This window comes from Homo sapiens, chromosome 7 (genome assembly GCF_000001405.40).
Source record: "Homo sapiens chromosome 7, GRCh38.p14 Primary Assembly".
In the NCBI taxonomy this organism is placed as follows: domain Eukaryota; kingdom Metazoa; phylum Chordata; class Mammalia; order Primates; family Hominidae; genus Homo; species Homo sapiens.
In genome coordinates this window covers 129,169,747-129,184,021 of record NC_000007.14, presented here as the reverse complement: position 1 = coordinate 129,184,021, position 14,275 = coordinate 129,169,747, and the positions used below count along the sequence as shown (strand labels likewise).

The 14,275-nt window shown below is 43.2% G+C and overlaps 2 annotated features.

The window, feature by feature from the left end:
- Positions 13,257 to 14,126: an enhancer, noted in NCBI's record as "NANOG-H3K27ac-H3K4me1 hESC enhancer chr7:128809737-128810606 (GRCh37/hg19 assembly coordinates)". NCBI's record gives its function as "activates a minimal SCP1, AML or CMV promoter by ChIP-STARR-seq in naive H9 embryonic stem cells {active_cell/tissue: H9 hESC(naive)}" and the evidence as "EXISTENCE:reporter gene assay evidence [ECO:0000049][PMID:30033119]".
- Positions 14,196 to 14,245: an enhancer, noted in NCBI's record as "active region_26625". NCBI's record gives its function as "activates an Ori minimal core promoter by ATAC-STARR-seq in GM12878 lymphoblastoid cells {active_cell/tissue: GM12878}" and the evidence as "EXISTENCE:reporter gene assay evidence [ECO:0000049][PMID:35858748]".

Genomic DNA, 14,275 nt, shown 5'->3' with positions numbered 1-14,275 from the left:
AGCGAGAGTCCGTCTCAGAAAAAAAAAAAAAGAATTAAATACTTGTGAATAAATCTAACCAAGGAGGTAAAAGACTCATATACTGAAAAGTACAAAATGTTGCTTACAGAAATTAAAGAAGTCCTAAATAAGTGAAAGGACATTTCGTATTCAAGGATAGGAAGATTTAACAGTGTTAGTCAATATAATTCAAATTGATCTACAGATTTAGCACAATCCTTATCAAAATTCCAACAGCCTCTTTTTCAGAAATGGAAAAGCCAGTCCTCAAGTTTATATGAAATTGCAAGGAGAGCTGAATAGCCAAAACAATCTTAAAAAAAAGGACTCACACTTCTTCCCAACTTCAAAATATACTGTGAAGCTACAGTAATTAAAACACCATGGCCAGACACGGTGGCTCACGCCTGTAATCCCAGCACTTTTGGAGGCCGAGGTGGGTGGATCACTTGAGATCAGGAGCTGGAGACCAGCCTGGCCAACATGGACAACTTGTCTCTACTAAAAAATAAAAAATAAAAAATAAAAAATAGCCAGGCATGGTGGTGCGTGTCTGTAATCCCAGCTACTCAGAAGGTTGAGGCAGGAGAATCGCTTGAACCTGGGAGGCAGAGGTTGCAGTGAGCCGAGATTGCACCACTGCACTCCAGTCTGGGCAACAGAGTGAGACTCCGTCTCAAAACAAAACAACACTATACTACTTGCATAAGGGCAGAAATACAAGTCAATAGAAGAGAATAGAGAGCCTAGAGGTAAACCCTCACATATGTGGCCAATTGGTTTTCGACAAGGGTGCCAAGCCCAATGAAAAAAAGACACACTTTTCTTTCTTTCTTTTTTTTTTTTTTTGAGGCGGAGTCTCACTCTGTCACCCAGGCTGCAGTGCAGTGGCGCGACCTCGGCTCACTGCAATCTCCGCCTCCTGGGTTCACGCCATTCTCCTGCCTCAGCCTCCTGAGTAGCTGTGACTACAGGCACCCGCCACCACGCCCAGCTAATTTTTTGTATTTTTAGTAGAGACGGGGGTTCACCGCGTTAGCCAGGATGGTCTCGATCTCCTGACCTCGTGATCCGCCCGCCTTGGCCTCCCAAAGTGCTGGGATTACAGGCATGAGCCACCTCGTCCGGACAAAAGACAGTCTTTTCAACCAGTAGAACTGGGGAAACTGCATATACACACGCAAAAGAATGAAGTTGGACCCTTAGCTTAAACGACATTCAAAAATTAACTCAAAATTAATCAAAGGCCTAAATGTAAAAACGAAATCTATGAAACTCCTAAAAGAAAGCATTGGGGAAAATCTGCATGACATTGAATTTGACAATGATTTTGTGGATATGATACCAAAAGCACAGGCAACAAAAGAAAAATTAGTTAAACTGAGCAGCCGGGCGTGGTGGCTCACACTTGTAATCCCAGCACTTTGGGAGTCCAGGGCGGGTGGATCACTTCAGGTCAGGAGATCGAGACCAGCCTGGCCAACAGAGTGAAACCCTGTGTCTACTAGAAATACAAAAATTAGCCAGGCATGGTGGCACCCACCTGTAGTTCCAGCTACTTGGAAGACTGAGGCAGAAGAATTGCTTGAACCCAGGAGGCAGAGGTTACGGTGAGCTGAGATTGCACCACTGCACTCCAACTTGGGCAACAGAGACTCCATCTCAAAAAAAAAAAAAAAAGACTATATAAAAGAAAAAATAGAGAAATTGGACTTCCTCAAAATTAAGAACTTTTGTGCATCAAAGGATACTGTCAAGAAAGCAAAAAGACAACCTTTAGAATGGGAGAAAATACTTATGAAACGTATGTCTGATGAGACATCATATCCAGAATATATAAGGAACTCCTGAAATTCAGTAACAATAAAAAGAGAAACAACCCAACTAAAAAGGGGGCAAAGACTTGAATAGACATCTTTCCAAAGAAGATACACAACTAGCTAATAAACACATGAAAAGATGCTCAACATCATTATCCATAAGGAAAATGCAAATCAAAACCATTGTGAGGTACCACTTCACATTTATTAGGATGATTATAGATTTTTTTTCTTTTTTGAGACAAAGTCTCACTCTGCCCCCAGCCTGGAGTGCAGTGGTGCAATCTTGGCTCACTGCACCCTTCGCCTCCCAGGTTCAAGCAATTCTCCTACCTCAGCCTCCTGAGTAGCTGGGATTCTAGGTGCGCGCCACCATGCCCGGCTAATTTTTTTTTTTTTTTAGTAGAGATGGAGTTTTCACTATGTTGGCCAGGCTGCTCTTGAACTCCTGACCTCAAGTGATCTGCCCACCTTGGTCTTCCAAAGTGTTGGGATTGCAGGCGTGAGCCACCATGCCCAGCCAGGATGATCATAATTAAAGCAAGCAGAGAAAATAACAAGTATTGGTGAAGATGTGGATATATTGGAACCCTCATGCATTACTGGTGGAAATGCACAATGGAGCAGCTGCTGTGGAGGACATTTTGGTGGTTTCTCAAAAGGCTAAACATAAAACTAACATGTGATCCAGCAATTCCACCCCTAGGTATATGTAATCTGAAAGAATTGAAAGTGGAGACTTGAAGAGATATTTGTACATCAATGTTCACAGCAGTATTACTCACAATAGCTAAAGGGTGGGAGTAACCCAAGTATCTATCAATGGATGAATGGATAAACAAAACGTGGTATATCTATAATAATGGAATATTACTAAGCCGTAAAAAGAATGAAATTTTGATATATGGATAACATGGATGGACCTTGAAAACAATATGTTTAGTGAAATAAGCCAGACACAAAAGAACAAATATTGTGTGATTCCACTGATTTCAGGTGCCCAGAACAGGCAAATTCATAGAAATAGAAAATAATAGAAGTTTCCAGGGGCTGGGGAAAGTGGTAAAAGGGAGTCTATTGTTTAACAGGTACAGAGTTTTTGTTGAGGATGATGAAAGAGTTTTGGCTATAGATGGTGATGGTTATGCAACATCATGAATATATTTAATGCCACTGAACTGTAAATTTACAAATACTTAAAATAATAAATATGGACGCCAGGCACGGTGGCTCATGCCTGTAATCCCAGCACTTTGGGAGGCCAAGGTGGGTGGATCATCTGAGGTCAGAGGTTTGAAACCAGCCTGGCCAATGTGGTCAAACCCCATATCTACTAAAAATACAAAAATTAGCCAGGCATGGTGGCATGTGCCTGTAGTCCCAGCCACTTGGAAGGCTGAGGCAGAAGAATCACTTGAACTCAGGAGGCAGAGGTTACAGTGAGCCGAGACAGAGCAAGACTCTGCCTCAAAAAATAGTAACAATAATAAATATTATGTTAGATATACTTTACTACAATTTTTTAAGAAAGAAAAAAGGGAAAAAACAAGTGTATTTTTACTTAGCTGTAAGGAGTCTAATGAAGATTAGTGCGAAGTAACATGGAAAAGCTTGGTTCTTACGTGCTTAAGAACTACTGGTTTCACTTACCTTTTCTTTCTTCTCCAACATCCATCTTATGGTACCATCTCAGTGGTTTCTGGAATTCCAACTAGTTGCCAACATTGTAGAAATGTGGCTGGTTTGGGAAAGGTAATCTTATCCCATACCAGTCTGTGACTGCAAACTGAGATATTAGGTTTCAGGTCTTTTCTGGGTAGTGACAGTTCTTTTTTTTTTTTTTTTTCAGATGGGGTCATATATTGCCTAGTCTGCTCTCAAGCTCTTTGGCTCAAATGATACCCCCTCACCACCTCAACCTTCAAAATTGCTGGGTCTACAGGTGCAAGGTCACTGTGCTGGCTGACAGTTCTGTTTTCATACTGAAGAATGTAGTTCTCTTCTCAGTAAATGGCACCACTGTTCACCCAGCTGCACGGGCCAAGATCCTTGGAGCCATATATGCCTCTTCTCTTTCTCTAACATCTCACACCGAGTCATCAGCAAATCCTGACAGCTACACCTTCAAAATATATCTAGACTCCAATTACTCCTTGTCCCCTTCACACTGCCACCCTCTTCTGAGCTACAGTCACTTGTCCTCTGGGCCACTCCAAGAGCTAACAGCTTTCCTGTTTCCCCTTACCCTCCTACAACCAATTCTGCATTCAGGCGCCAGGGTCATCCTTCTAAAATATGTCTGACTATATCGTTCTTGTGTTCAACACTCTGATGGCATTTCATCACACTTAGAGTAAAATTTCAATTTCTCATCAGGACTTCACCAACGTCCCGCTAACCCCTGGCAACCTCCTGGATCTCATTTGCTCACACCACCTTGAACATGCTGTCCTTTTTACTGATTAATGGGTACAGTTTTTGCTGTGTGTCCTTACACACACCAAGCAAGCACTTGCCTCAGGATCTTGGCACTCAGGCTTATTCTTATGTTCTCATTTAGGTCCATTCAAATACCCTTTCTCAAGAAGGCATTCCTAACAAACTGCTCCAAAGAAAATGAAATACTTGACTGGGCACAATGGCTCATGCCTGTAATCTCAGCACTTTGGGAGGCCGAGGTGGGTGGATAACCTGAGGTCAGGAGTGCAAGACCAGCCTGGCTAACATGGTAAAACCCCATCTCTACAAAAATACAAAAATTAGCTGGGCATGATAGCAGGTGCCTGTAATCCCAGCTACTGGGGAGGCTGAGGTAGGAGAATCACTTGGACCCAGGAGGCAGAGGTTGCAGTGAGCCGAGATCATGCCATTGCACTCCAGCCTGGGCAAAAGAGTGAAACTTGTCTCAAAAAAAAAAAAAAAAGAAAGAAAGAAAGAAAGAAAGAAAAAAAAATGAAATACTTAAGTACAAATCTAACAAAATTTATAAAGAATCTATATGATGAAAATTATAAAATGGGGATGAAAGAAATCAAAGGCAACCTAAATCCTTGGAGAGGCATACTATGTTCATGAATCAAAAGATCAAACATAGCAAAGATGTCACTTTCCCCTAGGTTGATTCCCTAAGCCTCTAGGTTTAACAAAATTCCTATCAAAATCTCAAGTTTTGAGAAAGAAAGAAAACAAGTTTCTCTGTAGACATAGACAAGCTTATTCCAAAACTAATATGGAAAGTGAAAGGCCTTGCTCAATTTTTGACAAAGATTAAAGTGGGAGGAATCGCTGGCTGATATTAAGGCTGACTATATAGTTACAGCAATCAAGACAATGTGGTACTGGTAGAAAGATAGACACATAGATCAATGTAGCAGAATAGAGAACCCAGAAATATGCCCACATATATGGCCAATTAGTTTTTGACAAAGCAGCAAAAGCAGTTCAATGGTGGAGGAGAACTTTTTCAATAAATGGTGCTAGAGCAATTACATATCCATATGCAAAAAAATAAAAATAAAATAAAACTCTATGTAAACCTCACACACCTTAAACAAAAATTAACTCAAAACAAATCATGCACTTAAATGTAAATATAAAACTTCTAAAAAACACATAGAAAATCTTCAGGACTCATACCAGGCAAAGAGTTCTTAGACTTGATACCAAAAGCACAACCCAGAGCCAGGCACAGTGATGCACACCTGTAGTCCCAGCTACCAGAAGGCTGAAGCAGGAGGATTACTTGAGCTCAGGAGTTCAAGGCTGCAGTGCTCCATTATTGCAGCTGTGAACAGCCACTGCACTCCAGCCTGGGCAACATAGACCTTATCTCTAAAGAAGTTAAATAAAAGTAAAATAAAAAATAAAAAGCAAAACCGGAAGAGGAAAAATTGACAAATTGTATCTCATCAGAATCTGAAACTTTTGCTCTGCAAAAGACACTGTTAAAAGAATAAAAAGACAAATTAAATACTGGGAGAAGATATTTGTAAATTGCATGTCCAAAAAAAGCCTTGTATCTAGAACACGCAAAGAACTTGAAAACAGTACTTAAAAAAACAAACAATCCAATTAGAAAACGGGAAAAAGACACGCACAGGCATTTTACCAAAGAGAATATATAGGTGGCAAATAGACCCATGAAAAGATGTTCAGTATCATTAGCCATTAGAGAAATGCAAATTAAACCATAATGAGATATTACCACATGCTGATCAAAATGACTAAAATAAAAAATTGTGGGCCAGGTGCGGTGGCTCATGCCTGTAATCCCAGCACTTTGGGAGGCCAAGGCGGGCAGATCACAAGGCCAGGAGATCGATCGAGACCATCCTGGCTAACACGGTGAAACCCCGTCTCTACTGAAAATACAAAAAATTAGCTGGGCATTGTGGCACATGCCTGCAGTCCCAGCTACTCAGGAGGCTGAGGCAGGAGAATCACTTGAACCCAGGAGGCGGAGGTTGCAATGAGCCGAGATCACACCACTGCAGTCCAGCCTAAGCGACAGAGTGAGACTGTGTCTAAAAAAAAAAAAAAAAAAAAGTAGTGATGAACACCAAATGCTGGCAATGCTGCGGAGAAACTGAGTCATTCGTATAGTGCTGGGGAACATAAAATGATAGAGCCACTCTGGAAAACAATTTGTCAGTTTCTGGAAAAAACATATATACCATACGACCCAGCAGTCACATTCCTGGGCATCTCTCCAAGAGAAATGAAGGCTTATTTTCACGCAGGAACTTGTACACAAATGGTCGTGGCAGTTTTATTTGTAATAGCTCAAAACTGGAAACCAACCAAATGTCCTTTAATGGGTGAGTGGTTAAACAAACTGTAGTTTATCCATACCATGGAATAATACTCAGAAATAGAAAAGAACAAACTATTGATACACGCAACAACTCGGATGGCGCTCAAAGAAATTATGCTGAGTGAAAAAAGCCAGTCTCAAAAGGATAACTACTGCATGATTCCATTTCTGTAACATTCATGAAATAACATAATTATAGGGGTGGAGAACAGATTGGTGGTTGCCGGAGGTTAGTGACGGTGGGGAGGAATGGGTGTGGCTATGAAGGGGTAACACCAATGTGTCTTGTGATGATGGCACAGTTGAGCATTTTTTTGTAGCAGTTTCATGGAGATGTAATTCACATATACTCCAGTTGAGTATACCTTGATTGTAGTGGTGATTACACAAAACTACATGTGATAAAATTACATAGAGCCATGCACACATATGCAAATAAGTGCATGTATGATTACTGAAATCCAAATAAGTTCTATACATTGTAGCAGTGTCAATTCCTTGGTTCTGATAATGTATCATACTGTAATTGTAGAAGATGTTAACACTGGGTGAGGTTGGGAAAAAGAGCATGGGACTTCCCTTGCATTTCTTTGCAACCTTCTGTGAGTCTGTAATTATTTAACAACAAAAAAAAAATTAAACTTTTTTAAAAAAGTGCCTTGTAGTCCCAGCACCTCATGAAGCTGAGGCAGGAGGAGTGCTTGAGCCCAGGAGTTTGAAGTCAGCCTAAGAAACACAGCAAGACCAAGACCATGTCTCTAAAAAAAACAAAAAACAAAAAATGTCTCATAAAAAATTGCACTCCCTCCATCACTCTCTATCCTCTCAACTTGCTTTATTTTTCTTCATTGTCTATATCTTCATAGCCTGTATCTGACTTTATAGTATATGTAATGGATAAGCTATAACATATATTTGCATACATCTGTCTCCTCCAGTAGAATGTAAACTTAGGAGGGGCAAGCATTTGTTATGTTCTCTCCCTGGTGCTAGAATGGCACCTGGCACACTGCATTTGTTGAGTGAATGTGTGGGTGTACCTGGCTTCCTACAGGTGTCTATTTCATTTATTGTATCTATACAAAAATTAACCTTATAGCCCCCTGCCAGAAACATTACTTTTATTAAGGTATTCACCCCAGACTCTCAGTTCAGAGGAGATTTCACATTTCTTTCTCTTTCTTTCTTTCTCTTTCTTTCCTTCCTTCTTTCCCTTTTCCCTCCCCTCCCCTCCCCTCCCCTCCTCTCCGCTCCCCTTCCCTCCCCTCCTCTCCTCTCACCTTCCCTTCCCTCTTTCCTTCCTTTTTTTTTTTTTTTTTTTTTTTGATAGGGTCTTCCTCTGCCACCCAGACTGGAGTGCAGTGGTGCAACCATGGGTCACTGCAGCCTCAACCTCCTGGGCTCAAGGAATTCTTTTGCCTCAGCCTCTTCAGTAGCTGGGACTACAGGTGCTTGCCACTAGGCTCACCTAATTTTTAAAACTTTTTTGCAGAAAGGGGGTCTTCCTATATTACCCAGGCTAGTCTCAAACTCCTGGGCTCAAGTCATCCTCCCGTCTTTGCTCCCTAAAGTGCTGGGATTATAGGTGTGAGCCACTGTGTCTGGCCACCACATTTTTTCAAATAGCCTTTTTCTGGTAATTACATTTTCATAAAGGCATTTTTTTTTTCTTTTTTTTGGAGACAGACTGTCTCTGACGCCCAGGCTGGAGTGCAGTAGCACACAAACATGGCTCACTACAGCCTCCTTGACCTCCTGGGCTCAAGTGGTCCTTCCACCTCAGCCTCCCATCTAGCTGGGACCACAGGTACATACCATCGTGCCTGGCTAAATTTTTTATTTTTTTCTTGTAGAGATGGGGTCTCCCTGTGTTGCCCAGGCTAGTCTTGAACTCTCAGGCTCAAGTGACCCTCCAACTTCAGCCTCCCAAATTGCTGGGATTATAGGTATGACCCACCATGCCCAGCTGTAAATGAAATTCTTTAGTGGGAAATACATATTTCACCCAATTCTGTTTATTCTTCCCTGGCTCCAATGAGGCCTTTGGGAGTATGTACTCATTTGAAGTCTTTCTGGGAGAGTTAAAACGTCTGCTATGAGAAGGCAGCTAAATAAAGGTCCTTGAATGTCACTGAATTGACCCTATGTTCCTCAAAAAGAGCTTCAGCCTGAATTGTTGAAATTAAGCAATTTTGTAAGAAAAAGAAACAGTACCAGTGGCTCACACCTGTAATCCCAGCACTTTGGGAGGCCGAGGCAGGCAGAACACAAGGTCAAGAGATTGAGACCATCCTGGCCAACATGGTGAAATCCCGTCTCTACTAAAAATACAAAAATTAGTTGGGCGTGGTGGCATGTTCCTGTAGTCCCAGCTACTTGGGAGGCTGAGGCAGGAGAATCACTTGAACCCAGGAGGCAGAGGTTGCGTAAGTGGAGATTGTGCCACTGCACTCCAGCCTGGTGACAGAGTGAGACTCCGTCTCAAAAAAAAGAAAAAGAAACAGTACAAAGAAATGCTTGGTCATCTATCTTACTACAAATGGTCATAATATAGTCTATTGTGCATCTGTGGTTGGCAAAATAATATGCCCTCAAGATATCCATATCCTAATCCCCAGGACCTGTGAATATATTACCTCATATGGCAAAAGGGACTTTGCAAATGGTGTGATTAAGGTTACATTCCTCGAGATGGGGAAAGTATCTTAGATTATGCAGATGGGCCCAACCTAATCACAGGAGTGAAGAATCTTTCCTGGCCGCAGAGAGACAGTAGTGTGAGAAGTACCTGCCCTGCCCTTGCAGGCTTGGAAGATGGAGGATGGGGCCGCCAACCAAGGAAAGCAGGTAGCCTCAAGAAGGAGGAAAAGACAAAGAAATGTATTGTCCCTGGAATCTCCAGCAAGGAATGCAACCCTGCTGATGCCTTGGTTTTAACCCAGTGAGACTCATAGCACACTTCTGACCAACAGAACGTAAGATAAAAAATTTGTGTTGCTTTTTTTTTTTTTTTTTTTTTTTGAGATGCAGTCTCACTCTGTCGGCCAGGCTGGAGTGTAGTGGCATGATCTTGGCTCACTGCAACCTCTGCCTCCTGCGTTCAAGTGATTCTGTCTCAGCCTCCCAAGTAGCTGGGATTACAGACATGTGCCACCACACCTAGCTAACTTTTATACTTTTAGTAGAGACAGGGTTTCGCCATGTTGGCCAGGCTGGTCTCAAACTCCTGACCTTAGGTGATCCACCCACCTTGGCCTCCCAAAGTGCTAGGATTACAGGCATGAGCCACCGCACCCGGCCAAATTTGTGTTGTTTTGAGCGCTGAGTTTGTGGAAAGTTGTTACAGCAGCAAAAGAGTACTAATACAGCATCTTACTCTGATTCTAGTTTTTCTATTAACTCTGCTTGCGAGCAAGAGAAACTAGTTGAGCTTCCCTAAGCAAACAAAACAGGCTTTACTGTAAGCAGATAGGGAAGCCACGGCTGGAAAGCAGTGCCGCTGCAGAAAGGTTCTGGGATTATAGAGGAAAGGCGCTTCTAGGAGGACTCCTCTTCTTCCTCCTCACCGCACTCCACTCCTTCCTTCTCTTGTTTCTGGGAATAGACTTTCTCCATAATCAGTCCCTGGAGCATAAGAGGGCTGGTACCTCAGCCTCCCTTTGCCTTCTCTTTCTTCATGAGACCAGCCCAGGCTGTGACTAGAACCTCATTCTCAATTCCCAAGTCCCAGGGAAATAACTCTGTTTGTTACTGTTTGGGTTAGGTGCCTGTTGTGGGTTGAATTTTGACTTCTTAAAAAAGATATGTTGAAGCCCTAGACCCCTGCACCTCAGATTGGGACCTTATTTGGAGATAGGGTCATTGCAGAAGTAATTAATTAAGATGATGATACTGGAGGCCAGGCGCGTGGTGGCTCACGCTTGTAATCCCAGCATTTTGGGAGGCTGAGATGGTCAGATCACCTGAGGTCAGAAGTTCAAGACCATCCTGACCAACATGGTGAAACCCTGACTCTACTAAAAATACAAAAATTAGCAGGGCGTGGAAGTGCGTGCCTGTAATCCCAGCTACTAGGGAGACTGAGGCAGGAGAATCACTTGAACCCAGGAGGTGGAGGTTGCAGTGAGCCAAGATCGTGACACTACACTCCAGCCTGGGTGACAGAGCAAGACTTTGTCTCAAAAAAAAAAAAAAAAAAAAAAGATGAGGATACTGGAGTACAGTGGGCCTTGATCCAATGTGACTGGCATCCTTATGAGAAGAGGAAAATTGGGACACAGACACAGAGGGAAGATGAAGAGGGAGGCAGAGTCTGCATTTATACTGCCGCAAGCCAAGGAATACCCAGCTACCAGAAGCTGGAAAGGACAAGGAAGGATCCTCCCCTGGAGGCTTCCGGGGAGCATGGCCTGGTCAACACCTTGATTTCAGACTTCCGGCCTCCAAAACTGTGAAACAATAATTATCTGTTGTTTTAAGCGATCTATTTTTGTGGTACTTTGTGATGGGAGCCCTAGGAAACGAATAGAGTGCCTGAGCTGGATCCAATCAGCTATGCCTAGGGGACCAGGCCTTAGAGGATAAATATGGCTCCTCAAGACTCACCCCTATGGCTTGAGGGGTGGATGCCAGTTTCCAAAGAAGAAGGAATCATTGCAAGTTGGGAAGATACACTGAAAAGCTGTCTACTGTAGCTTCCTAGAGCTAGGACAGTATGATATTCTGGTTTTCTTGTTTGTTTTACTTTAAAATCTTAGCTCTTTTACCCTTCTGGAATGCTTTGCAGTGCACAGTGTGAGGTAGGAATCTGTTACTTATTTTCCACACTGTAATAATTCGCCTAATAGCATTTATTAGTAATTATGATTACAGCTTCCTCTCAACATTGCATTGCTTCTTGTTTATTATATAGTGAGCACCGATGTCCAAAATATTTCTGGAATCCCTTTGCTATTTCCATTCATTTGATTGATTTTCCACATTCCCGATATGGTAATGAGAAGACTCTGGAGGCTTAATTTCCAACTGGAGTTCTAGACCGTGGTTATCCCTTACTTTATTCCCTCCCCTAAGTGCTTTACCTATGATGATTTGAAATATCTAATTGCTCTTATTTTTGGGGGTGGGGTGGGGGTGTTTACAAAACAGAACAGAAGAACTGCTGATGGAAGAAGCTGTGCTGCTTGCTTTGTGTGTGTGTGTGTGTGTGTGTGTGTGTGTGTGTGAGAGAGAGAGAGAGAGAGAGAAAGAGTCTTCTCTGTTGCTCACTGGAGTGCAGTGGGGTGATCACAGGTCTCTGCAGCCTCGACACCCACCTCCCTGCCTCCCACCCCCACCCCTACACACCCCCAGGCTCAAGTGATCCTCCCCACCTTAGCTTCCAAAGTAGCTGGGACTGACCCAGGAGGCTAGATAGCAAGAGACAGTAGAGGCCAACATGTCACCATGCCTGGCTAATTTTTATGTTTTGTACAGACAGGGTCTCCCTCTGTTGCCCAGGCTGGTCTCAAACTCCTGACCTCAGGTGATCCTCCTGCCTTGGCCTCCCAAAGTGCCGGGATTACAGGTATGAGCCACTGCACCTGGCCTGCTCTCCTTTTTGAACCTGGTCTCTGGCCCTGTTAACATATCTGGTCTTCAGGATGAGGATAAGTCAGAAAATAGCCAAGGCTGCGTATTGAACTTCATAATAAATATGTGCCTGGTGCATCATAAGCACTTGATAGACGTTACATAATTATCAGAAAGAAGACCAGAGAACACCTACCTCAAACTCTTGCCAGCATCCAACATCAGCTCATTCCCAAATGCCCCGCACCTGAAGGCATTCATGAGGCTGGAAAGGGGGATGTAATGAGCTAAATCATGCCACCCCAAAAATGTCCATGCCCTAATCCCTAGAACCGATGCATCTCTTTCCTTACATACTAAAAGGGACTTTGTAGACGTGGCGAGATTCATGATCTTCATGGGGGAAGGGCATCCTGGATAATCTAGATGGGCCAATACAATCACAGGGGTCCTGTCAGGGGGCAGTAGGAGAGTCAGAGAAAAAGGAGATGTGATGACAGAAGTTGGAGAAAGGGACCACCCAAAGGTATGCACGCGGCCTCTGGGAGCAGGAAAGATGGATTCTCCCCTGAAGCCCCCAAGAAGGAATACAGCCCTGCTCACACCTTGATCTTAGCTCAGTGAGACCCATTTTGGACTTCTTACTTCCAGAATGTAAGATAAATTTGTGTTGCTTTAAACTACTAAATGTCTGGTAATTTGTAACAGTAGCAATAAAAACCTGATAGGAGGAAATCAGAATTTCACTGAACATTCTGCAAAATTTGCTCTTCTGGGCACAAGTCTTTGTTTAACTGCAGGGCTTAAGGCCCGCAGAACTTAGTGGTGCCTTTCTTGGCATGCCACCCTGGCAGGTTTTCACCATCCTTCAGGCCTTTCTCTCCACCTCTGTGTACCAAGCCTGATTTCTGCTGTCCCCAAGAATCTCCTTTCATTCAACCACCTTTGCGGCCTACATTTGATTAGCTATTCTAAAGTAGTGGTGTCAGAAGCATTTGAACCAGAGCAACTCCATCTTCAATAGGCGCTGGGTAAAATAAGGCTGAGACCTACTGGGCTGCATTCCCAGCAGATTAAGGCATTCTAAGTCACAGGATGAGATAGGAGGTCGGCACAAGATACAGGTCAGAAATACCTTGCTGATAAAACAGATTGCGGTAAAGAAGCCGGCCAAAACCCACCACAACCAAAATGTTGACGAGAGTGACCTCTGGTCGTCCTCACTGCTACGCTCCCATCAGCACCACGACAGTTTACAAATGCCATGGCAACGTCAGGAAGTTACCTTACATGGTCTAAAAAGGTGAGGCATGAATAATCCACCCCTTGTTTAGCATATCATCAAGAAATAACCCTAACAATGGGCAACCAGCAGCCCTTGGGGCTGCTCTGTCTATGGAGTAGCCATTCTTTATTCCTTTACTTTTCTAATAAACTTGCTTTCACTTTATGGACTTGCCCTGAATTCTTTCTTGTGTCAGATCCAAGAACCCTCTCTTGGGAAGGACTCCCGGTAACAGTGTGTGTCTGGTAACAGTGTGTGTTTGGGAGGAGGGTTACTAGAAATAGGTAGAAATTCAAGGAGCAAACATGAAATATAAAACTTCGCGTATTTTCTTCCCCAGCATCAGGCCGAAGAGAAAGAAAGCTACAGACTGAGAATCAGAGACATTGGCAATTTGCAATCTAGCTAGGAACCCTGAACTGCACTATACTGAACATTTGCTCTGTGCGTTATAAAGTCTGGGGCATGGGCAGAAGTTCCCAGCCTTTTAGTCCAGACCCAGGAGGCTAGATACTGAGAGACAGTAGAGGCGATGGTGAAAGTGTAGTTCTTAGTTTTGAAAATCCAGATTTGAATAATCATTCTGAGGATCACGGTTCCTGGTCTTACTTCCTCCAAGGGGCCCCAAACGGAGCCCGCTGCAGGGTGAGCTCCTCAAAGCCGCTGAACCCAGAGGGCGCATCACTCCAACCTCTAACCCAAGACATCGACTTCTGGGTCCGTGTCACTTAAATAAGTTTATAAAGTGCACGTCTCTGGCACTAACCAAGAAAGGCAAGTTAGCAA